General features: G+C 38.3%; 1 protein-coding gene, 1 non-coding gene and 1 pseudogene across 8 annotated transcripts in view; 1 reads left to right on the forward strand and 2 right to left on the reverse strand.

Annotated features, from left to right (window-relative positions):
* ACBD6 (acyl-CoA binding domain containing 6) overlaps positions 1 to 27502 on the reverse strand; it is a 232925-nt gene that overhangs the window by 163789 nt on the left and 41634 nt on the right. The gene's annotated exons all lie outside the window — the stretch shown is intronic.
* Positions 1355 to 3361, forward strand: VDAC1P4 (voltage dependent anion channel 1 pseudogene 4; annotated as a pseudogene).
* Positions 4873 to 4949, reverse strand: MIR3121 (microRNA 3121). Its single transcript, NR_036067.1, has one exon. It is a non-coding gene; the product is annotated as a microRNA 3121 (primary transcript).

Below are 27502 nucleotides of genomic sequence, written 5' to 3' on the forward strand. Positions count from 1 at the left end.
TGGTGGAAAACTGAAAGCTTTCTTTCTAAGATCAGGAACAAGGCAAGGATATCCATTCTCATCACTTCTTTTCAAGATGGTATCCAAGCCACAGCGATCAGACAAGAAATAAAAGGCATTTGTGGTGTTATGCTGTGTGTGTGTGTGTGTGTGTGTGTGTGTGTGTGTGTGTGTGTGTACAGAGAGAGAGCGAGAGTGAGAGAGTGCGCACAAAAGAGATTTGTTTTTGTCCATGGTTCCTGGTTTCTAACTCCTATTGCCCTTGTTACAGTCTTTCGTTACATAATTAGGTGTGTCAGGCCTCAGGAGCAAGCCTCAGGAAAGAGAATCTATGGGACTTTCTCCTGCCCTCCTTTTACCTGCCCCAGGTTACCCTTTCTGATTGTGGGTCACAATCCCGAGAGAGAGTCCTGCCCTATACCCTAGGGGAAGGAATACTGACATCATGAAACCCAAGAGGAATGGGTGCTGGGAGCCTGGGGATAGTGGAACACATGGAGGTTCCTGGAGGGTGGCATGCCCAGAGAGATCATGAAAGCGCCATGTCCCTTCCTCCATGCCTCACCCTACACATCTCCTTGTAAACCAAAAATAAAGTTCTAAGCCCTACAACCATCTGGATGAACCCCTCCTCTCAGCTAAGGTTTCTCCAAAGAAACCTGAAAAACTAGTTCAGGCCATGATGGGAAGTCGGGGTCTGGACATGCCTCATTATACTTTCCTCCCTTTAGCATTCAGGAACAACTGACCAGCATTAACATTAAAACAGAGATCTCACAACTGACAAAAAAGACTCTTTGTATCAATAAGATATCAAATTCCAACCTGACTCTAGTATAGCATCACATGACAGAGAGCAGACCCTGGAAGAAATCAAAATATCTTATCCCAAAATATATTTGACATATTTTGAAATGGCCCTGCAAAGCCATCTCTTAAAAGGGAAATTTTACATTATGTAAAGAATCCTGTTCCCTTTCCAGGTCTTTTTCTGATCCTAAAGAGATTAGCTGAGAGATCTGAAGAATCTTTTAAAGATCTGAATAGGAAACAATTGTCATCTATTGCATCTAACAGTGGCCACCTATGAGACTTCATCTATATAGTAAGAACCTTGGTCTCCACAAATCCTTAACTCAGATATTCCTTTCTATTAATTCCAAGCTTTTAGATAATAACTTAACTCTCAACCAACTGCCAATCAGAAAATCTTTGAATCTACCTATGATAAGTCACTGCTTCGAGTTGTCCTGTCTTTCCAAACCAAACCAATGTATTAATAAACTAGGAATAGAGTAAAACTACCTCAACAGGCCATAGCCGCAACCGAGCCTGCTGCCAATGCCTCTAAGCCGAAGGTGGCTGTGCCACCCACGAATGCCAATCTTGGCAAATCTGCCAGGGATGTCTTCACCAAGGGTTATGGATTTGGCTTGATTTGAAAACAAAATCTGAGAATGAATTGGAATTTACAAGCTCAGGCTCAGCCAACATTGAGACCACCAAAGTCATGGGCAGTCTGTAAACCAAGTACAGATGGACTGAGTACGGCCTGACGTTTACAGAGAAATGGAACACCGACAATACACTAGGCACCGAGATTACCGTGGAAGGTCAGCTTGCACATGATCTGAAGCTTACCTTCAATTCATCCTTCTCACCTAACACTGGGGAAAAAAAAGCTAAAATCAAGACAGGGTACAAGCAGAAGCACATTAACCTGGGCTGCGACACGGATTTCAACATCGCTGGCCTTTCCATCTGGGGTACTCTGGTGCTGGGTTACGAGGGCTGGCTGGCCGGCTACCAGATGCATTTTTTTTTTGAGACGGAGTCTTGCTCTGTCGCCCAGGTTGGAGTGCAGTGGCAGGATCTCAGCTCACTGCAAGCTCCGTCTCCTGGTTTCACGCCATTCTCCTGCCTCAGCCTCCCAAGTAACTGGGACTACAGGCGCCCGCCACCACGCCTGGCTAATTTTTTTTTTTTTTTTTTTAGTAGAGACGGGGTTTCACCGTTAGCCAGGATGGTCTCAATCTCCTGACCTCGTGATCCGCCCGCCTTGGCCTCCCAAAGTGCTGGGATTACAGGCATGAGCGACCATGCCCAGCCTGGATGAATTTTGAGACTGCAAAGTCCCGAGTAACCCAGAGCAACTTTGCAGTTGGCTACAAGACTTATGAATTCCAGCTTCACACTAATATGAATGACGGGACAGAGTTTGGCAGCTCCATTTACCAGAAGGTGAACAAGAAGTTAGAGACCGCTGTCAATCTCGCCTGGACAGCAGGAAACAGTAACACGCACTTCAGAATAGCAGCCAAGTATCAGATTGACTCTGACAGCTGCTTCTCGGCTAAAGTGAATAACTCCAGCCTGATGGGTTTAGGATACACTCAGACCCTAAAACCAGGTATCAAATTGACACTGTCAGCTCTTCTGGATGGCAAGAACGTCAATGGTGGTGGCCACAAGCTTGGTTTAGGCCTGGAATTTCAAGCATAAATGAATACTGTACAATTGTTTAATTTTAAACTATTTTGCAGCATAGCTACCTTCAGAATTTACTGTATCGTTTAATGTTGTACGTCTGGAATGCAAGTATTGCTAAATATGTTAGACCTCCAGGTTAAAGATGATTCAGCTTTAAGATGTTACCCTTTCAGAGGTACAGAAGAAAACCATTTCCAAAAAAGGTCCTTTCAGTGGTAGACTTGGGGGTAACTTGGTGGCCCCTTTGAGATATCAGGTTTCTTTTTTATCTAGAAATGGCTGCAAGTGGAAGCTGATAATATGTAGGCACTTTGTAAATTCATATTGAGTAAATGAAAGAAATTGTGATTTCCTGAGAATTGAACCTTGTTTATCTAACCCTAATTGATGAGAAGCTCACTACTTGATGGTGTGTACAAACTCACCTGAATGGGATTTTTTTTAGACATATCTTCATGACCTGTTCCCACCCCAGTTCATCGTCACCTCTTTTACACCAAAACGTCTGCAGAGTGGTGTGGTCACGATTCTTTTGTGCCATTTTGGGGTGGAGAGGGTGGACGTGATAAAGCCAATAATTCAGGACTTATTCCTTCTTGCGTTGTGTTTTTTTGCCCTTGCACCAGAGTATGAAATAGCTTCCAGGAGCTCCACCTATAAGCTTAGAAGTGTCTGTATGATTGTAATCACATGGTGACAACACTCAGAATCTAAATTGGACTTCTGTTGTATTCTCACCACTCAATTTGTTTTTTAGCAGTTTAATGGGTACATTTTAGAGTCTTCCATTTTGTGTGGAATTAGATCCTCCCCTTCAAATGCTGTAATTAACATCACTTTAAAAAAACCTGAATAAAATATTGAAACCTCAAAAAACAAAAACAAAAACAAAACTACCTCAAAATAATAAAGGCCATATATGAAAAGGCCACAGTTAACAACATACTCAGTGGTGAAAAACTGAAAGCTTTCCTTCTAAGATCAGGAACAAGGCAAGGATATCTATTCTCATCACTTCTATTCAAGATGGTATCCAGGCCAATGTTAATGCTATCATATCTCCTTAAAGGATATAAAATCAAGCTATAACCCCATCAGCTTGGGTACATGTTCTCAAGACCTTCTGAGGCTGTGTCATGGGTCATGGTCTTCACATTTGGTGCAGAATAAATCTCTTCAAATACTTTGCAGTTTGGCTTTTTTCCCTCGACATCTTCATCTGTATCCTTTGTAACATCCTTTATAATAAACTGGCAAATGTGTTTCCCTGAGTTCTGTAAGCCACTCCAGAACTCAGTTGAACCCAAAGAGGGGGTCATGGGAACCACAACTTGAAGCCAGTTGGTAAGAAATTCTGGAGACCGGGGCTTGTGACTGGTCAAGGGGTGGGAGGCAGTCCTGGGGACTGAGTCCTCAACCTGTGGAATCTGACACTATCTCTAGGCACCTAGTGTCAGAACTGATTAGGAGGATACCCAGTTGGTGTCTGCTGCAGAACTGCTCACATAATGTTGGGGAGAAATCCCCACGTATTTGGTCACAGAAGTCTTCTGTTGTTGTAGTGGTATGAGAGCAGAGGAAAAACACAGTTTGAAAGTTTTTCCTAAAATGGCATCCAAATTGGAAAGGAAGAGGTAAAGTTATCTGTTCACAGACAACAAGATTTTATATGTAAAAAAATCCTAAAGATTCCACCCAATCTGTTATTCAGCAAAGTTGCAGGATACAAAATCGTCACACAAAAATCAGGTTAGGTCTGACAGAGACAGACAATAAATGAATAAGTTTTCCAATATTAAAACCTAAGGAGTATTATGAAGAAAAAAAACAGGTCCAGGAACAAGGTTATAATTTGGAATAAGATGGTTAGGGAAAGCCTTCTAGAGAAGGCCCTTTGAATAAAGACAAAGGAAGTGAAGAAGTGAGTCTTGCAGGTATCTGGAGTAGATTGTTCCAGCCATAGGAAAAAGCCAGTGCAAAGGCCCTATGATGAGGGTATGCACAGAATGTTAGAGTAGGGGTCCCCAACCCCTGGGCTGCAGGCCAGTAGCAATACATGGCCTGTCAGGAACCTGGCCGCACAGCAGGAGATGAGTGGCGGTTGAGCAAGCATTACCACCTGAGCTCCACCTCCTGTGAGATCAGCAATAGCATTAGAGTCTCACAGGACTGTGAAGACTATTGTGAACTGCACATGTGAGGGGTCTAGGTTACGCACTCCTTATGAGAATCTAATGCCTGATGATCTGAAGTCAAATGGTTTAATCCTGAAACCATCCCCCTCCAACACTGGCCCCCTAATCCCTGCTGCAGAAAAATGGTCTTCCACTAAACCAGTCCCTGGTGCCAAAAAGGGTGGGGACTGCTGTGTTAGAGAACTTAAAATGTTTCTGTCCTTTGCCTACTCTATTTAAGGTACAGGGTGTCTTAAATAGAATAGGCAAAGGACATAACCATTTAAGAAGCAATAAGACAAGGTTGTTCATGAGACAATCATAGCTTCTATTGGCGCCATTCATTGACTCTCTTAAAGTGAAATAGACAATTGGGAAGAGATAGCTATGGTCCACTTGGTAATTATTTGCTGTGAAATAAAGACTACTAATTAAGAGTTACGTGGTAGTTCAAAAAAAATAAGTATAGTTCTTTTTTCTTTTTTATTTAGACTTCTTTTTAAAGCAAGTTTAGGTTTACAGAAAAATGAACAAAAAATAGGGTTATCTCATACCTCTCACATGTATACAACTCTCCCACCCACTGCCCCCATTACTAACATCTTGCATTGAGTGGCACATTTGTTACAGCTGATGAGCCTATATTAATACACTATTATTAATGAAAGTCCATAGTTTACATTAGGGTTCACTCTTGTATTGAACATTCTATGGGTTTGACAAACATATAATGACATGTACCCACCACTGCGGTACCATTCAGAATAGTTTCACTGCCCTAAAAATCCCGTACTCTACCTATTCACCCTTCCCTCCCTCCCCACTCTCCTCCATACTCTGAACCCACGGCAACTAGTGATCTTTTCACTGCTTTGTTTTACTCTTTCCAGAATGTCAAATGATTAGACTCATACAGTATGCAGCCTTTTCAGATTGGCTTCTTTCACTTAGCATTATGCATTTAAGGTTCCTCCATGTCTTTTCATGGTCTAATAGCTCATTTCTTTTTAAAAATTTTAAATTATTGTAAACATAAAATTTACCATTTTAACCATTTTTGGTATTTAACTCAGTAGTGTTAACTATATGCTCCTTCCCCTGGCCCAAAACACAAGATTTTTCTTGACTCTTTACCGTAAATGGGATTCTGGGAGATAAAACCTACCAAAGTGGAAGGCCCTACTAAGACTGGGGAGGGGCCGGGTGTGGGGGCTCACGCCTGTAATCCCAGCACTGGGGGAGGCCGAGGCGGGTGGATCACAAGGTCAGGAGATCGAGACCATCCTGGCTAACATGGTGAAACCCCGTCTCTACTAAAAATAAAACAACAACAAAATTAGCTGGGCATGGTGGTGGGCGCCTGTAGTCCCAGTTACTCAGGAGGCTGAGGCAGGAGAATGGTGGAACTCAGGAGGCAGAACTTGCAGTGAGCCAAGATTGCGCTACTGCACTCCAGCCTGGGCGACACAGCGAGACTCCGTCTCAAAAAAAAAAAAAATACTGGGGAGGAGTTTTTGACTCCCTAGTCCACACTCAGCCTCAAGCAATTCATCCATTACCATTGAAGTGTTTCTACCAGTTTATGGCCCAAGCATCTTCTGTTATCTTGGTTATGATTCTCTGTATTCACCTGTCTCTCCAGTTTTGGGGATGGCAGTTTGAACTGGTACCTCAATCTCTGATGGATCTAGAACAGTCTTTGATTTTCAGTTTGGTCAGATTACTGTTATTGTTAAGGAGAGGAGTGATAACTTGCAGGTTCTTCACATGTTGAGGCTGAAACTGGAAGTTCAGTGATCTTTTAAAGAGATTTTAAAATTTAAAAAAAGTCTTTAAATTTACCCATATATTTAGCACTTCCAGGACTCTTCATTCCTTTATGGAGGTCCAAATTTCCATCTTATATAATTTTCCTTTCATGTGAAGTTCCTTTAAAATTTACTATAGTTCAGTTCAGTTGGCAATGAATTACCTGCTTTTGTTTATTTGGAAAAAGTTTTTATTTATTTATTTTTATTTTTTAGATGAAGTCTCACTCTGTGGCCCAGGCTGGAGTGCAGTGGTGCAATCTCAGCTCACTACAACCTCTGCCTCCTGGGTTCAAGTGATTCTCCTGCTTCAGTCTCCAGAGTAGCTGGGATTACAGATGCCCACCATGACACCCGACTAATTTTTGCATTTTTAGTAGAGATGGGGTTGCAATGTGTTGTTCAGCCTGGTCTCGAACTCCTGACCTCAAGTGATCTGCCCATCTCAGCCTCCCAAAGTATTGGGATTACAGGCATGAGCCACCAGATCCAGCCTTGAAAAGTCTTTATTTCACGTTTACTTCTTTTTGTATTGACATGAGATTCACATAAAATTAACCAGTTTAACATGTACAATTGAATGACATTTAATACATTCACAATATTGTGCAACCAACTGCATCTAGTTCCACAACATATTTGTTATTCCCCCCAAAAAGCCTTGAACCCACTAAGCAGTCACTCCCCATTCCCCTCTCCCCCAAACCTTTAGCCTTGAACCCACCAAGCAGTCACTCCCCATTCCCCTCTCCCCCAAACCTTTAGCCTTGAACCCACTAAGCAGTCACTCCCCATTCCCCTCTCCCCCAAAACCTTGGCAACACCAATCTGCTTTCTGTCTCTATGGATTTAACCATTCTGGATATTTCATATAAATTGAATCATACACTATGTAATCTTTCATGTCTGGCCTCTCACTTGGTTTAATGTTTTCAAGGCTCATCTATATTATAGCATGTATCGGTTCTTCATTCCTTTTTATGATTAATAGTCTATTATATGTATACAACAATGCCAAATTTTGCTTATCCACTCATCAGTTAATGGACATTTGGGTTGTTTGCACTTTTGGCTATTGTGAATACTGCTGCTATGATCATTTGTATACAGGTATTTGAGTACCAAATTACCCAGCAATTCCACTCCTGTATATACCCAAAAGAATTGGTAATTCTATTTTTAACTTTTTGAGGAACCACCAAACTGTCTTTTATGGCAGCTGCACCATTGTACAGTCTTAGCAGCAATCTAAGACAGTTCCAATGTCTCTACATCCCTGCCAAAACTTGTTATTATCTTTTTTATTGCGGACACCCTACTGGGTATGAAGTGGCCCTGTTGAAAATCAACTGACCATAAACTTGAGAGTTCATTTCTGCACTCTCAATTCTTTTCCATATGTCTATCCTTATACCAGTACCATACTGTTTTAATTACTGTAGCTTTATAGTAAATTTTGAAATTGCAAAGTTTGAATCCACTAGTTTTGCTCTTTTTCAATACTTTGACTATTTGGGGCCCTTTGCAATTCCATATAAATCAGATTGACTTGGACAGCGCTGCCATCTAAATAAAATTAAATCTTCCAATCCATGAACACAAGATGAATTTCCATTAACTTAGGTCTTCTTTAATTTCTTTCGGCAATATAGTTTTCAGTCTAAAATCTTTCACATCCTTGGTTAAAATTCCCAGGTTTTTGTTTTTAATTCTTTTAAAGGCTATTGTAAATGGAATTTTTTTGTTTGTTTCCATTTCAGAGTATCCGCTGATGGTCTAAAGAACACAATGATTTCTGCATGCTGATCTTATGATCTTATATCTTGTAACTTTGCTGAATTAACATACTAACTCTAGCGGTGTCTTTGTGGATTCTCTGGATTTTCTATATACTGTGTAGGATCATGTCACCGATTAACATTTTTATTTCCTCCTTTCCAATTTGGATGCTGTTTCTTTATTTTTCTTGTCTAATTGCTCTGGCTAGAATTTATGTATACAATGTTGAACAGGAGTGGTGAAAGCAAGCATCCTTGTCTTATTCCTGATCTACCTCTGGGTTTTTCATAAATACCCATTATGTTAAGTAAAGTTTACCTTCATTTTTGAAAGCTATTATAACTTAACTGAGTATAGAATTACAGGTTGGTCGTCTTTTCCTTTTGTTGTCAACCTATTGACTTCAGATTTCTGAAAAGAAGTCTGCTGTAGTTCTACCTTGTTTATCTTCATCATGTTTTCTGTCTGCTTTTTTCTCTTTTTCACTGGCTTTCAACAATTTGTTATGTATTGTATGGTTTCATTACATTTCTTCCGCATGGGGTTCATTGAGCTTCTTGGATCTATGGGTTTATGGCAGTGACTCTCAACTAGGGGCACTTTTTTTTTTGCCCTCTCCATCCACAGATATTTGGCATGTCTGGGGCAATTTTTTAGCTGTCACACTACGCAGTGCTATTGACATCTAGTGAATAGAGAACAGAGTCACTGCTAAATGTCCTACAATGTACAGGATATCCTCCATAAAGAAGAATTTTCTGGCCCAGAATATCAATGGAGCAAAGATTGAAAAACTCTGGTTTATAGTTTATGAACTATTTGAAATTTCAGCCATTATTAACTAAATTTTGTTTCTGTCTTCTCTCACTTTTTTTCTCCTTTCTGGGTCTCCAATTATATGAATGCTACATTGCTTTGTATTTTCCCACAGCTCATTGAAGTTCTGTTCTTTTTTTGTTCAGTCTTTTTATGCTCTGTGCTTCATTTTGATTAGTTTCACTTGCTCCATCTTCGAGCTTCAAGTTCACTGATCTTATGCAATGTCTAATCTGCTGTTAATCATATCCAGTCTATTTTTTACTTCAGATATTATATTTTTCCCTATCTAAAAGTTCCATTTTGATACTTTTGCATCTTCCATCTCTCTACATATGTTCACTTTTTCCTCTACTTTCTTGAATATATAGTATATATTTGTAAAGTAAGTGTTTTCATGTCCTTGTCTGTTATTTTATCATCTTTATCATTTCCACCATGTACTTTTATTGACAGGTTTTTCTCCTGGGTCATATTTTCCTGCCCCCACTTTTTTTTTTCCTTTTTGGCAAGCTTTAAAGACCTGTATTGTAAGCAAGGCATTGTAATAAATTTTACATTCTTGCTTGCTGGATTTTGTTGTGTTCCTTTAAATTATGTTGGACTTTGTTTTGGCATGCATTAAGTTACTTGGAATTAGTCTGATCCTTTTGAGGCTCAATTTTAAGCAGTGTTAAGGCAAGGGCAAAGCAGCCTTTGATATAGCATTTAATTTAGCACAGCTACTGAAGTGAAACCCTTCTGAAGCCTCTACCATATGCCCCACATATTACATTTTCATTCTACTCCTGACTGGTAGGAAACAAAATATTCTCAGTCCTATGTCAGCTCCAGAAATTGGCCTACTGCTTTCTTATGTTTCTTTCCCCGGCCTGTTATTAATAGTTTCCTCTTATACATGCATAGATCAGTATTCAGCCAAAGGGACCCCTCTGCAGACCTCTGGAACTGTCAATATAGGATCATCCTCTCTGGTATTCAGCCCCGCAAATTCTAGTTCAAAATGGTAAGACTGCCAGGCCATTTTGGGATCCCCCTCCTTGCAGCCTGGAAAATGCTGCCAGGTAATAAATGGGACGCACCTGCAAGGCACAGCTTGTTTTTTTTGTTTTGTTTTGTTTTTAGATGAAGTCTCACTCTGTCGCCCAGGCTGGAGTGCAGTGGTGCAATCTTGGCTCCCTGCAAGCTCCGCCTCCTGGGTTGACACCATTCTCCCGCCTCAGCCTCCCAAGTAGCTGGGACTACAGACACCCGCCACCACGCCCAGCTAATTTTTTTTTTTTTTTTTGTATTTTTAGTAGAGACAGGGTTTCACTGTGTTAGTCAGGATGGTCTCGATCTCCTGACCTCGTGATCTGCCTGCCTTGGCCTCCCAAAGTGCTGGGATTATAGGTGTGAGCCATCGTGCCCGGCCATTTCCCTTCTTTTGTAACTTTACACTACTTATAATACAATGTCTGAAAATTACTGTTTCATCCAGAAATTTTAGCCATGCATCTGGTTTTCTTCTTGTTTTTGGCAAAAGGGTAAATCTCATCCCTATTACTCCACCATTCCCAGGAACATAAGTCCTACAAACATTAATTTTAAACCCAGCATAATATTCCATGCAGTAATGTAATATAATTTACTTAACCATTATCTAACAGTTGTATATTAGGTTATTTTCATTTTTTCACTCATAAACAGACATAATGAATATTTTTAAAAATAAGAAATAAAGTACTTTTAGGCCACTGCACTCCAGTCTGGGCGACAGAGTGAGATTCCGTCTCTCCAAAAAAAAAAAAAAGAAAGTACTTTTAATTAAAATCTTTAGAAAAAAAACTGACCCCATAATTTGATTATGGTATATTCTAAATACATTCCCCTTTCCTGGGATTAGTTCCTCTTTCTAATGCAACTGCACAAATACACATGTTAGAATACACATGGTCACAATGTTTTGTGGGGAAATAAAAAGATTATATCTTAGGCAGAAATAATATTTTAAAAATAACCTGCCATTATCAGATTGAATCCAGAATAAAGATGCCAAAGATGCGTTAGTTTTCCTTTCTATACACTTCATCTACCAGAGTGGATAAACTTTGGCTACTTTACCCTCTTGATATCCACTCCAGTGAAATTTCTTTCATAGAGGCTTAGAAGTTTATTCCATTTCTCTCTACTCAAAATCCATTAAGTCACTTTTATGTTGCATCAGCAATTAAATAGAGTCCAATTTGGCAGCGAACAGGATAAAATTTGCCAGTTCTTACATTGCCTGAGACTCTATTAGTTGAGAAACTAAAATGCTCCTTCACTCAAAAGGGAAAGGATAAGTTGTTGGCTAAATCTTTATCACTTGATTCAGACTCCACCTTAGTCAGTTTTAGAGTCAAGATTTAAAGCCTTGTGAAACTTTTTCTTCTATTCCTAAGATTATCAAGCTAATCTATGCAAAGAGGTTTCTTGCTTCTGTGTGCTACCTTTTTTGGATTTGTTTTACTGTTTTGTTTAATTCATTTATAGTCTAACTGTAGAATGCTGGGAAAATTAATCTACTTCTTTGCCTCAGTTTCCTCATTTGTAAAAATGGGAATAATAGTACCTATTTCATACCTATTTATATTTATACATAAATAAAACAGTATCCAGTGCAAAGTGGCCATTTTGTAAGTGTTAGCTAATACAATAATTATTATTGCCCAAAACATGGCCATTTCTCCAACGCAAAAGTGTTTCAGCAATATAGATACAAGATGTTGTGATGTGGGGACTTAAAATATTGACCTATGGTCTTTACCTAATAGCTCTAAACTCCTGATTCTCTTGATAAAACAACAACAAATCCCCCAAACAAACCAATCATAAAAACTCTAACATACTTCGTTATAAGAAAAAGAGATAGAAAACTAATACTTAAGGAATATTTTCTATGTGCTTATACTATCCAACTTCCACTTCAAAACGAGTCTATAAAGCTGGCATTATCACTGTATTTTATTTAATCTAAGATATCCTCAATTATAAGAAGCACCATTATTTTCTGTAATGTTCAGAAAGAAAAACTAGCCAATTAAATATAATACACTAAGACTCATACAGATTTCAAAAATATTAAAAACTGAATAAATGTCTGCCTTAGATTTGGCCAGGTGCAGTGGCTCATGCCTTTAATTCCAGCACTTTGAAAGGCTGAGGAAGGAGGATCACTTGAGCTCAGGAGTTCAAAACCAGCCTAGACAACATGGTGAGACCCTGTCTCTACAAAAGAAAAAAAAAAGATTTGATGAAATATAAGTAAATATTTATTTTACAGATTCAAAAACTGAAAAGAGGTGAAGTATCCAATGCCACAGAAGTGGCAGAATTGGGATTCACACCAAGATCCTTTGATATTCCAAAGCCTGTGTTCTATTAAATTACATTATATTACTTCTCCAAGCTATTTTGGAAACCATTATTACATACTGACAATATTCTAAATTAAAATTTTGTCTGTTTCTTAAGTGTACTTTTTTTTGGGGGGGATGGGGTCTCATTCTGTCACCCAGGCTGGAGTACAGTGGGTGATCTTGGCTCATTCAACTTCTGCTTCCCAGGCTCAAGGGATCTCCTCCCACCTCAGCCTCCCAAGTAGCTGGGACCACAAGCAAGCACCATCACGCCGGGATAATTTTTTTTTTTTTTTGTATTTTTGGTAGAGACAGGGTTTTACCATGTCACCCATGCTGGTCTTTAACTCCTGGGCTCAAGCGATCTACCCACCTCAGCCTCCCTAAGTGCTGAGATTACAGGTGTGAGCCACCACACCCAGCCTTAAGTGTACTTTTAAAATGTTTACATAAAGTACTCCATTAGTTCAAAGAGAAAACTTTAAACATTTTTGAAGCAAAATTATTCTGATAAATTATGCATAATTTAGTTGCTAGATTAATACTATCATTCTAAACCCTTAAAAGAGGAACACTTTTCTGATAATCCTTTTGAAATACTAAATTTTTTCCTGAAACATGAATAGCTATTCATTTCAAGTAGAAAAGTAAGAATATTGGTTTCATCTCATCTACCATTTGTCACAGCATTAAAAAGAAAACTTTACCATGAAAATATTGTTGGTTGCTACTTATAACAGTAATATTTATAAAATTTTTCAAGAAAGGGGAACTCCATAAACGTATGTTTTTAACCTGTTTCTCTTAAAATTACAAACACACAGCAATATTTTAAAAAATCATCTCCTACAACCTTTAAAAAACAGACATTTAGCCAGGTGCAGTCTCATGCCTGTAATCCTAGCACTTTGGGAGGCAGAGGCAGGCGGATTACCCGAGGTTAGGAGTTTGAGACCAGCCTGGCCAACATGGTAAAACCCCATCTCTACTAAAAATACAAAAATTAGCTGGGCATGGTGGTGCATATCTGTAATCCCAGCTACTTGGGAGGCTGAAGCAGGAGTATTGCTTGAACCCGGGAGGGAGAGGTTGTAGTGAGCTGAGATAACCCCCGACAGTCCAGCCTGGGTGATAGAGTGAGACTCTGTCCCAAAACAAACAAACAAAAAAACCCAGACATTTATAAAAATGTCAGTTCTCTAGAAATGTTGCATAAATGCTTAAATTAGCATTGGAAAATAATTTTAAATAAAAGCAATGAGAACAGAAATGATATGAACAAGTATTTTATCCAATCCTCCAAATTTCAGCCTTTCCTAATATTTTTTGTATATATACTACATACACTAGCTAACACATTTTTTAAAGATTAAAAGACTGAAGAACACTTTTTTTTTAACCAAACACTTTACACCACAGAAATATGAGATAATTTTTACATATAATTAATATGGTCAACAGAACTCCGAAGATTCTCTTATAGTCCACCAAGTAAATGTCATCACTTTGTAACAACAAACCAAAAATGGTAAATTGCTTTCTACCACCCCACAATAGAATTTAAGAATAAATATTATATTACTCTTGTCGATTTCTTGGCTTTTGTCAATTGTCTTGGTTCCAGCACACTTTAAAACTAAGGCGCAATATGTAAGTCATTTGTATTTGTTAGTATTTTTACTCAATTTAACACTGTTTTAAAATGGCTATCATGGAAAACTACCTTCAGGTTATTATGACTAATTTTCTAGAAATATAACACTGATCAAAATTTAGATTTTCTTTAGAAAATTATCTTGAATATAGTATTTATCATAGCTGTTCAGAAATTATAACTTTTTTTGGATTTTAAACACCAAAGGAAATCATAAAACATCAAAAGATTCAAATATTTAAACCAGCATTTCTGTAATAACGTCTCAAAAATAAACAGGAAAAGAAGAAACTGTATTTTAAGCAAGCAAAACAAATGGTTAATATTTCTATAATGTATCCAAATGATCTCATGTGTACAAAAAAAAAAATCATTAAGACCCAATGGATAAACAGACCATGATTATAAGTAGGCAACAGTTAGATACTTGAAGTTACCCACGGGTTTAGGGTTCTACTCACATACACCAATACTTGGGAAAATGCTTAACATCCCTTAATAATTTGCAAAATGCAAATTAAAGCAACAATGAACAATGAATTTTTAACTAGCTACATTAGAATAAATAAGGCAGTAAAATTACAGTGAAACAGGTACTAATAAGCTAATGGCCCTAATGGCCTTGTAAAATGGTATTAGTCTTTTGGAAAGTATATGGCAATCCTACCAAGACCCATACAAATATTAAGCACATATTAATTATTTTCACCAATAATATAACTTCTGGATATTATAAGAAAAAGATACAATCCTTAACTATTGCAACTTGGTATGAGATTCAACAACAATCTTTTTTGTTGGTCATCTTTACCTAAATTTAATGTTCTTAAATTTTTAAGACAGAAACATAGGTCAGGATAGATTTTTAGATCTCTATCTCCCTTTTCTATTGTTTTCATGAAGTGGTAAAAATTTTGGCCCCTAGGATACTTAGCTCTTGCCCCCTCTGGTTCTTCTTTTTCCTTTTGTCTTTATTGTCCTTGTTGTCCTACTTGATTTTGATTAAATTCCTAGTAGATTGCTCTTAGTATGAAGCTTTATACTGGAAGAAAGTTTTGGCTAGTTAATTTTAGAAGCTTAGAGCCCAGGCAGCTCTAGAGAACGTTACCATGAACCTCTTGTACTCAGCCATGAATTGAAGTGCATAAAAACCCCTTTTAGCTTTACCTGTTGGCTATTTTAGAAATCTGCCATTCTCAAGATAGTAAGGTACTCATAGGTACTCTACTGCTTCCTTCTGCTTCCTTCTAAAGAGATGCCAATGCCACACAAATCTGTTTTCTTTCATTTTTTTTAAAATATAAATCTGGTAGCTGTTGGTGGTTTGTCCCTATTTTCTCTAATCAACTAATTTTGTTACAGATATTGCTCAAGAGCTTTTGATTATGCTATCCTAGTTATTCTGTTAAGGAAGGAGGACTATTCAAAAACTATGCTACAGCCACTACCATCTTCCCAGAATTAAAATACCATAAATAATTTTTAATGTAACACATGAATAGGAATACACAAATAAATAGATTAGTATTGCTAAAGTTGGTATGTTTCCATTCCATTCTCTTTTCCATTATTTTTGTCTCCATGCAACTATCTTAGTTGCATGATTTCATGAAAGAGAGATTTAGAGACTGACAACACAAGTTCAGTGAACATCAGTTATTTGTAGCTTACCAAAGTATGAATACTATTTCAACATTTTAATAGTTTCCGAAATTGTGAATCCCAACTTCTAAAGCAGAATTCTCAAAATCTTATTTCTTAGACTTTCTTGAAGCTATGATTCATTATCTACATTCCATAAACTAAATGTGCAAGCAACCCATATGGATACAAAACGGAGCAACATATCACTGACCTACAACTCGCACTTTTTTTTTTTTTTTTTGAGACAGAGTCTCACTCTGTCACCCAGGCTGGAGTTCAGTGGTGTGATCTCAGCTCACTGTAACCTCCACCACAGGTTCAAGTGATTCTCCTGCCTCAGCCTCCTGAGTAGCTGGGATTACAGGTGCCCGCCACCACACCCGGCTAGTTTTTGTATTTTCAGTAGCGACAAGGTTTCACCATGTTGGCCAGGCTGGTCTTGAACTCCTGACCTCAAGTGATCTGCCCTCCTCGGCCTCCCAAACCAAACACCGCATGTTCTCACTCATAGGTGGGAATTGAACAATGATAACACTTGGACACAGGGTGGGGAACATCACACACCGGGGCCTGTTGTAGGGTGGGGACAGGGGGAGGGATAGCATTAAGAGAAACACCTAATGCAAATGACAAGTTAATGGGTACAGCAAACCAACATGACACATGTTCACCTATGTAACAAACCTGCACATTGTGCACATGTACCCTAGAACTTAAATTAAAAAAAAAAAAACTTAAAAAAAAAAGCATGCTAATCTAATTTCCGGATGACAGGGTCAATGAAAGACAGTTGACACACTAGATGTCACATTCAGGACCCCCCCACCCCAAAAATCTTCAATGTGGGAATAAGATGTTGAATAAAATAAAATGAAATTTAATACGGGTACACATAAAGTATTGAACTTAGTACACAACAGACATTGCATAACAGAATGTATAAAAAAAGACAGGATTTTAGTTTACTGAAAGTTAAAGAATAATTAACATTGTAATGTGGTTGCAAGAAGTGTTAAGGTAATTTTAAGCCACAATCAGTGCAAGTATAGTGTTCTAAAGAGAGAAAAGTTCTATTCTGTAGTGGTCACACTATGCCTAAAACAGTCTGTTCAATTCCAAAGGCCATACTCTAAAAGAGGTGTTGAGAAACTGAAATTTGTTCACACAAGAATGACTGGGAAGGTAGTGGGACTTGATGGTGAAGAAGATGAAGAACAATTTTAGAAATCAGAAATATTTGGTCTGGAGATGAGGAGACTTAAAAGCTGCCTTAAAACTTCTGAAAGACTCGGCCGGGTGCAGTGGCCCATGCCTGTAATCCCAGCACTTTGGGAGGCCCAGGCAGGTGGATCACGAGGTCAGGAGATCGAGACCATCCTGGCTAACACAGTGAAACTCCGTCTCTACTAAAAAATACAAAAAAATTAGCCAGGCGTGGTGGCAGGCGCCTGTAGTCCCAGCTATTCGGGAGGCTGAGGCAGAAGAATGGCGTGAAACCAGGAGGTGGAACTTGCAGTGAGCCGAGATTGCGCCACTGCACTCCAGCCTGGGCGACAGTGAGACTCTGTCAAAAAAACAAAACAAACAAACAAAAAAAAACTTCTGAAAGACTCATATAAAAAACTGAACATCGTCTATGTGGGCCTAAAAAGCAAAAATATAACAGAGTAGAAAACAATAACGATACCAAAACAGTGAAATAAATTTTGGCTTAATATAAAAAGAAGCTTCTAACAACTGGAGTTCTTCAAAAATTGGGCCAATTTCTTCACAAATAGTAAATTTCCCTTCATTAAGAGTCTTCCAATAGAAGCTAAAAGACTGTATGCTAGAATAATCTGGAGACAGAAAATTAGTCTAAATAACCAATAAATTCATTCTAATAATGAGATTACAAGCTTACAACAAGAAAGGGAAATGTAACTTAAAAAAGATATACAAATGGCCAATGTGTACATTAAAAGGTGGTCAATATCATCAGTCATCAGGGAAATGCAAATTGAAATCACAACAAGATACCATTTCAGACCCACTAGGATGGCTACAATCAAAAAGGCAGAAAATAAATCAGAACCCTCATACACTGTTGACAGGACTATAAAATGTTGTAGCCATTTTAGAAGACAGTCCAATGGTTCTTCAAAGTTAAACACAGAATTACCATTCGATCCAGCAATTCCACTCCTGGATATATATCCATTAGAAATAAAGATATATGTACACACAAAAACTTGCACACAAATGTTCACAGCAACATTATTCAAAATAGCCAAAAGGTGGAAAGAACCCAAATGTCCAAAAAAAGATGAATGGATAAACAAAATGTGGCATATCCATACAATAGAATACTACTCATCCATAAAAAGGAATGAAGTATTGATACATGCTACAATGTGAAAGAACACCCTGAAAACATACTAATAAAAAAAGTCAGTCATAAAAGACTACATGTGATATTCCCCATTTGAAACCAGAATAGGCAAATCTATAGAAACAAAAACTAGATTAATGGTTGCTTAGGGCTGAGGGAAATGAGGAGACTGAAACTAAGAGCTAAAGGGTATGGAGTTTCTTTTTGAGGGGATGAAAATGTTCTAAGATGAATTGTAATGATGGTTGTACAACTTCATGAATATGCTAAAAACCACTGAATTGTACACTTAAATGGGAGAACACAGTGGGTGAATTTTAATGTCTCAATTTAAAAAGCAGAGAAAAATGAAAAAATGTGTTCAGTAAACTACATTTAAAAAAACTAGGAAAGACTATACTTTCAGGGGTCATTTCTATCTGAACAACCTGCTCCTGAATGACTAATGGGTAAATAATGAAATTAAGGCAGAAATAAACAAGTTCTTTGAAAACAGTGAGAACAAAGACACAACGTACCAAAATCTCTGGGACACAGCTAAAGCAGTGTTTAGAGGGAAATTTATAGCACTAAATGCCCACAGGAGAAAGCGGGTAAGATCTAAAATCGACACCCTAACATCACAATTAAAACAACTATGTGGGTGGCTCAGACCTGTAATCCCAGCACTTTGGGAGGCTGACGTGGGCAGATCACGAGGTCAAGAGATTGAGACCAGCCTGGCCAATATAGTGAAACCTCATCTCTACTAAAAATACAAAAATTACCTGGGCATGGTGGCACGTGCCAGTAGTCCCAGCTACTCGGGAGGCTGAGGCAGGAGAATCACTTGAAACCTAGGAGGCGAAGGTTGTGGTGAGCCGAGATCATGCCACTGTACTCCAGCCTGGGCAACAGAGTGAGACTCCATCTCAAAAAATTAAATAATAATAATAATAATAATAAAACCAACTAGAGAAGCAAGAGCAAACTAATTCAAAAGCTAGCAGAAGACAAGAAATAACTAAGATCAGAGCAGAACTGAAGGAGATAGAGACATGAAAAATCCTTCAAAAAATAAATGAATACAGGAGCTGATTTTTTGAAAAGATTAACAAAGTAGACTGCTAGCAAGACTAATAAAGAAGAAAAGAGAGAAGATTCAATAGACACAACAAAAAATGATAAAGGGGATATCACCACTGATCCTACAGAAATACAAGCTACTATCAGAGAATACTATAAACACCTCTACGCAAATAAACTAGAATATCTAGAAGAAATGGATAAATTCCTGGACGCATGCACCCTCCCAAGACTAAATCAGGAAGAAGTCGAATCCCTGAATAGACCAATAACAAGTTCTGAAATTGAGGCAGTAATTAATAGCCTACCAACCAAAAAAGGCCAGAACCAGACGGATTCACAGCTGACGAAATCTACCAGAGGTACAAAGAGGAGCTCATACCACTCCTTCTGAAACTACTCCAAACAAGAGAAAAAGAGGTAAACCTCCCTAACTCATTTTATGAGGCCAGCATCAACCTGATATCAAAACCCGGCAGAGACACAACAGAAAAAGAAAATTTCAGGCCAGTATCCCTGATGAACATCGATGCAAAAATCTTCAATAAAATACTAGCAAATCGAATCCAGCAGCACATCAAAAAGCTTATCCACCACGATCAAGTTGGCTTCATCTCTGGGATGCAAGGCTGGTTCAACATATGCAAATCAATAAATATAATCCATCACATAAACAGAACCAATGACAAAAACCACATGATTATCTCAATAGATGCAGAAAAGGCTTTCGATGCTAAAAACTCTCAATAAACTAGGTATTGATGGAATGTATCTCAAAATAATAAGAGCTATTTATTACAAACCCACAGCCAATATCATATTGAATGGGCAAAAGCTAGAAGCATTCCCTTTGAAAACTGGTGGAAGACAAGGATGCCCTCTCTCACCACTCCTATTCAACATAGTAGTGGAAGTTCTGGCCAGGGCAATCAGGCAAGAGAAAGAAATAAAGGGTATTCAAATAGGAAGAGAGGAAGTCAAATTGTCTCTGTTTACAGATGGCATGATTGTATATTTAGAAAACCCCATTGTCATAGCCCAAAATCTCCTAAAGCTGATAAGCAACTTCAGCAAAGTCTCAGGATACAAAATCAATGTGCAAAAATCACAAGCATTCCTATAAACCAATAATAGACAAACAGAGAGCCAAATCATGAGTGAAATTCCATTCAAAACTGCTACAAAGAAATTCCTAGGAATATAACTTACAAGGGATGTGAAGGACCTCTTCAAAGAGAACTACAAACCACTGCTCAAGGAAATAAGAGAGGACATAAACAAATGGAAAAACATTCCATGCACGTGGATAGGAAGAATCAATGTCATGAAAAGTAATTTATAGATTCAATGCTATCCCCATCAAGCTACCATTGACTTTCTTCAAAGAATTAGAAAAAACTACCTTAAATTTCATATGGAACCAAAAAAGAGCCCATATAGACAAGACAATCCTAAGCAAAAAGAACAAAGCTGGAGGCATCACGCTACCTGACTTCAAACTATACTACAAGGCTACAGTAATGAAAACAGCATGGTACTGGTACCAAAACAGAGAGACAGACCAATGAAACAGAACAGACGCCTCAGAAATAACACCACGTATCTACAACCATCTGATCTTTGACAAACCTGACAAAAACAAGCAATGGGGAAAGGATTCCCTATTTAATAAATGGTATTGGGAAAACTGGCTAGCCATATGCAGAAAACTGAAATTGGACCCCTTCCTTACACCTTATACAAAAATTAACTCAAGACGGATTAAAGACTTAAATGTAAGACCTAAAACTATAAAAACCCTAGAAGAAAACCTAGCCAATACCATTCAGGACATAGGCATGGGCAAAGACTTTATGACTAAAACACCAAAAGCAATGGCAACAAAAGCCAAAATTGACAAGTGGGATCTAATTAAACTAAAGAGCTTCTGCACAGCAAAAGAAACTATCATCAGAGTGAAGAGGCAGTCTACAAAATGGGAGAAAATTTTTGCAATCTATCCATCTGACAAAGGGCTAATAGCTGGAATCTACAAGGAACTTAAACAAATTTACAAGAAAAAAAACCCCATCAAAAAGTGGGCAAAGGATATCAATAGACACTTCTCAAAAGAAGACATTTACGCAGCCAACAAACATATGAAAAAAAGCTCATCATCACTGGTCATTAGAGAAATGCAAATCAAAACCACAATGAGATACCATCTCACACCAGTTAGAATGGTGATCATTAAAAAGTCAGGAAACTACAGGTACTGGAGAGGATGTGGAGAAATAGGAACACTTTTACACTGTTGGTGGGACTGTAAACTAGTTCAACCATTGTGGAAGTCAGTGTGGCGATTCCTCAGGGATCTAGAACTAGAAATACCATTTGACCCAGCCATCCCATTACTGGGTATATACCCAAAGGAGTATAAATCATGCTGCTATAAAGACACATGCACACGTATGTTTACTGAGGCACTATTCACAATAGCAAAGACTTGGAACCAACTCAAATGCCCATCAGTGATAGACTGGATTAAGAAAATGTGGCACATATACACCATGGAATATTATGCAGCCATAAAAAAAGGATGAGTTCATGTCCTTTACAGGGACATGGATGAAGCTGGAAACCATCATTCTCAGCAAACTAACACAGGAACAGAAAACCAAACACCACATATTCTCATTCATAAGTGGGAGGTGAACAATGAAAACACATGGACACGGGGAGGGGAACATCACACACCAGGGCCTATCGGGGGTTGGGGGACAGGGGGAGGGATAGCATTAGAAGAAATATCTAATGTTGATGATGGGTTGATGGGTGCAGCAAATCATCATGGCACATGTATATGTATGTAACAAACCTGCACGTTCTGCACATGTATCCCAGAACTTAAAGTATAATTTAAAAAAAAAGAAACTAGGAAACTTATTATCACTTTACAAAGACTACCTAAAAGTGAAAAAAAGTTCAGATACTTGAAAAGGTAGGTTTGATTTGCTGAAAAATTCACTCTGTAGAATTCATTCTCCAAATCTGGGGTAAAGAAGGCATTACTTTAATAGGTAATCCCCAATCTAGAGCCACTAGATTATGATCTTGTCCTATTACCACAACCATAAAATTGAATTAATTCTAGATTATGCACTTTTTATATACACTTTTTAAAAAATACCACCATCTTAGAATTACATTTTTTGAACTGTGGCCAATATGGTCCTAATCCATAAAGGAAATGTATTCATAATTAATTCTTCAGAAATATAATTACAATCAATGAACCTTGAAATCTTTTTTATCATCTTTTATTATTGTCAGACTTATTCGAGTCAGTCCTACAAAAGTAAAAAAGGTGAGGCCAAGGCGGGCGGATCACCTGAGGTCAGGAGTTCGAGACCAGCCGGGCCAACATGGTGAAATCCTGTCCCTACTAAAAATACAAAAAATTAACTGGACGTGGTGACACATGCCTATAGTCCCAGCTACTCGGGAGGCTGAGGCAGGGGAATCACATGAACCTAGGAGGCGGAGGTTGCAGTGAGCCAAGATTGCACCACTGCTCTACAGCCTAGGCAACAGAGCGAGACACCATTTCAAAAAAAAAAAAAAAAAGTGACTTAATTTTATAGTTTTAAATTCTCAAAGTAGACAGATTTAAAAGCCAAACCCTCAAAAAGTTTCAAAAACTCTCTTTTCATTTTCTAACTCTATATCAAGGAACGGCACAAGTGTCCCCAGGGAAAGAAACTTGGGCAGACAGCAATTGTATGTGACAGTAGCAATTACATGCAAGGTTGGAGATTAGAAGACCATTAATGTGGGTACAGTAATTGCTCTGGTATTTTATTGAGGATCGGCTCAAAGAGGATCCATAGCAAACTTCACCTAGGTTGCCATTGGTCAAGGAATTCCACCCTAAGAAAGCACATGAAAAGTGTAAACGTGATAGTTATAGGCACACAGAACATTTCTTTGATGAGAGACTGATACATCATGAAACAGCAACAACAAACATGCAATTCTGAAAGGTATTTCCACCTATACTTTCCAACTAGCTATGAAGAATATCAGAAAAATTCACACAATGAATGTGACTAAATGTTGATCTTTAAAATTTTTTTTTTTTTAACACCGTCTTTCTCTGTTGCCCAGGTTGGAGTACAGTGGCATGATCAGGGCTCACTGCAGCCTCAGCCTCAGCCTCCCGGGCTCAAGTGATCCTCCTGCCTCACCCTCCCAAGTAGCTGGGACTACAGGTGTGTGCCACCATGCCTGGCTATTTTTAAATTTTTTGGTAGAGAATATTTGCTAGAATATTCATCTTTACAAACAAACATATTTTATAACATCACACTATAACAAGTATTTAAAAAACTATATTGACTAAAAAGCCTTGCAAACCTAGAAACCGTAGAAAGACAGTAGAAACAGCAAACTTTTCCTATAAACAATAATAGGAAGATGTAAACACATACCCTTGGCTTCCTCTCCCCAGTATGGCATATCAAAAACTGAAACAAGCCCAGTGTACCTAAAGGAGAGCATGTAGGGGCAAGAGATCCACGGGGCCAAAGGTGAGAACAGAAATTTACTCAGGCAGTAAAACCTGAACCTTCAAAAGGGTCCAACTGCCTGGTGAAGGTAGATTACCTTAGCAAGCAGAGAGGGGCCACATCTGCTACATGCTACATATAATTTCTACATATGGTAAATCCTGCTTACTCTGGCAGTCCCAAACTATGCTGGTAGGCTGAACTGTTCTCAATCTCTTTGTTGCAGACTGACCTACCTTTACTCAGCATTCACCCAGATAGTCCTACGGGGAGAAACGTCTCTCTTACTCCATCTCATCTTGTCTCAGTAGGGATCACTAACCTACAAGACTAGGAAAAAATTAGATCTCCCTTAACCTGTCAGACCTGAGTTCTGCTCAAAAGACCTCAAAAGCCAGACCTAGTGCTAAGGAATCTTACAATCAAAGGGCAGAGAAAAATTACAACCATTTAAGGAGAGCAAGAGGCTAACATGAATCAGAATGAGTGGGTTATTTTGAGGGAAGCAAAATTAATAGAAGAAGCCAGAGAATTTTCACATAATAAAATATAAAGACATATAGGCATACACAAACACTAAATGCATTATTCCAAAAAAGTCTACTGTACCACAAAAATTAACTGTTTTTTTTTTTTTTTTGAGACGGAGTTTCGCTCTTGTCGCCCAGCCTGGAGTACAATGGCACGATCTCAGCTCACTGCAACATTCACCTCCCAGGTTCAAGTGATTCTCCTGTCTCAGCCTCCTGAGTAGCTGGGATTACAGGCGCCCACCACCAAACCCAGCTAAATTTTGTATTTTTTTTAGTAGAGACAGGATTTCACCATGTTGGCCAGGCTGGTCTCAAACTCCTGACCTCAGGTGATCCACTCACCTTGGCCTCCCAAAGTGCTGGGATTACAGGTGTGAGCCACCATGCCCGGCCAAAAATTAACTTTTTACCAATGTTGATAGTATAATCCTAATATATCTTTCCTACGGCATGGCTCAAAATAGTCCTTCAATAAATAAGCATGATTCAGCAACTGGAATGTTTTCAAAAAGACAATGAAAAATATACATAATTGTTAGAACCACTTTCAAAAAGCACACATGCCATATTATGGGGCATAATTTATGTTAAGAAATATCCCCAACTTATTTCAGTTCAACTCAACGCAACAGCATAAGTACTTTTAAGAACCTACTGTCTTAAACACTGAGCTCATCACTGTAAAGTATATTAATCAAGACACCTGCTACCAAGACATTCAGTATAACCAGGAATTTAGGTATGTTGTCATATAATACAGATAAGAAACAATATAAGACAAATAAGATCAAATATTAAAACATTTGCCATAAATAATAAATGTGATTCATTTGCAGAAAGGGAGAAGGTAGTGTGGACTGAAGGCTTCACGGAATAAACAGGAATTAACCAGGGCCTAAAAAAACAAAAACCATAGGTAGGAACAGTAATAAAGGCATTTCAGAAAACAGCGTGAGTTAAAAAAAGGCATAATAAATCCACCATAGTTGAGGGGCAATGAAAAGTTATATCAAATGGCAATCAAATTTACAGTGTGTAAAGTTAGAGCTAAGTCTGGATTCATAATATTGGGAAGAGAAGTACATACTACAAAGGACCTTCAAAGAACTAAAAACTTAGATTTAAATAATGATTCCTAAAAAGTCTGGCATAAAATCTTTGTCATTTTCCTATTAAACTTCATTATTTAAAAAAAGGCATATGTTCCATTATAAAACTGTTTATCTCCATATGCAGTACAATCACACTTAGAATGTAACAAATTTTTTAAAGGTTTTATTAGAAAGTTTTATTAGAAGTTTTATTAGAACCTCAAAGTTCTAATAAAAGTAATGATATTTTTTCAAGATCTCAGTAGTGTAAAACACTAAAAATAATTCATATTATAAAGCACTAAAGTTATTCGTAAGATGCTGAAAATGATAGGTTCATTAGACAATCTGGTAGTCTAACAGATAACTTAAAATATTCCCGTTATTCAAAAGAAATCTCTAATATTTTAGTAATTTGGCTCCAGTTCAACTTAATGTTTCTAAATTTGAAACCATGGTCAGTAATTTAACTCTTTTTGCACTTTCTCCATAATTATAATTACTGTTCTATTTACTAACATTCCCCCCTAAGTATATCTGACCCGTTTGTTAAAGGTATCCTTGCATAGCAATAGCAGCCCATAAAGCCATAGACTGAAATATTCAATTCTAGCATAGCTAAGGAAACTCAGCTCTAATTAGGTCCTGCAACTCACACACACCTAATGAACATCCTGATGAAGATAGGCAAATGATAAAACTGGGCCTTTGTGACAATTATAGTCCAAGTACAAGGGTCTGTTTACTAGGACAAGGGCTCTCACTAATAGTTGTTAGTACATTTTAAAACATTTTCCCACATTCATTTTAGTTTATAACCTACACAGTAAAAGGGGTTTGGTAGTCTCTGGCAATCTATGTGAAATGTCAAGTTTCTCAAATTCCATGAAGATAAGAAAAAATTAAAGTCAGTTTGTTATTTAATTCATAAATTCATCTTCTAAATTCTATTAAATGAGTGATGCTTATACGGGGAAAAGATTGTTACACATCCAGATATATACTCTTAAATTTTACAAAGGGAAAATATCAAACACATATGACCTCAAAAAAACATTTAAAACTGGTAAACTGGTTCCAGCCTGTGGGCTTAGGGGAGTCCGAACCATTTAGGGATGGAAGCAGTATCCCGGCACAGCACAGCTATTCTACAAAAGCATGACCAGACTGCTTCTTTTTTTTTTTTTTTTTTTTTTTTTAATTATACTTTAAGTTTTAGGGTACATGTGCACAACGTGCAGCTTTGTTACATATGTATACATGTGCCATGTTGGTGTGCTGCACCCATTAACTCATCATTTAACATTAGATATATCTCCTAATGCTATCCCTCCCCCCTCCCCCTACCCCACAGTAGGCCCCGGTGTGTGATGTTCCTTAAGTGGGTCCCCCATCTGTTCCTCTTCACTGGGTGGGACTTACCAACAGGGGCCTCAAGCCACTCCCACCATTGTTCTCTGCCTGACAGAAGTTTGAAAACTTCCTGGAACAAAGTTCCCGGCGTAGGGGCAGGCTGCCATCTTTGCTGTTTTAGCAACTTAGCCGTTCCAGCCTCCAGGCTTTGGAGAGCCCAACCCAACAGGTCGCAGAAACGGTACCCCAGCACAGCATGGCTGCTCTATGAAAGTGAGGCTAGACTGCTTCTTTAAGCAGGTCCCTGATCCCGTTCCTCCTGGCTGGGCGAGACCTCCCAACCAGGGTCTCCAGCTACCTCCTACAGGTGCATTCAAGTCAGCAACAAGTCTGTACCCTCCCTGGGATGGAGCTCCCAGAGGAAGGGGCAGGCTGCCATCTTTGCTGTTTCACAGCCTTCGCTGGTGATACCTCCAGGTATTGGAAAATCTGAGGCAACTACGGACTGGAGTGGATACCTAGCAAACCACAGCAGCCCTACAAAAAAGTGGCCAGACTCTTAAAAAACAAAACAACAAAAACCAAAAATCCCATCCACAGGTCAGCAACCTCAAAGATTTAGGTAGTATGCCCACAAAGATAAGAAAGAATTAGCACAAAAACACAGAAAACTCAAAAAGCCAGAGGGGCCTCTCTCCTCCAAATGACAACATCGCTGCTCCAGCAAGGGTTCGGACTGTGGCTGAGGCTGACATGGCTGAAACAACAGAAACAGACCTCACCACGTGGATAAAAAT

The sequence above is a fragment of the Homo sapiens genome, chromosome 1, assembly GCF_000001405.40.
Source record: "Homo sapiens chromosome 1, GRCh38.p14 Primary Assembly".
Lineage (NCBI taxonomy): Eukaryota > Metazoa > Chordata > Mammalia > Primates > Hominidae > Homo > Homo sapiens.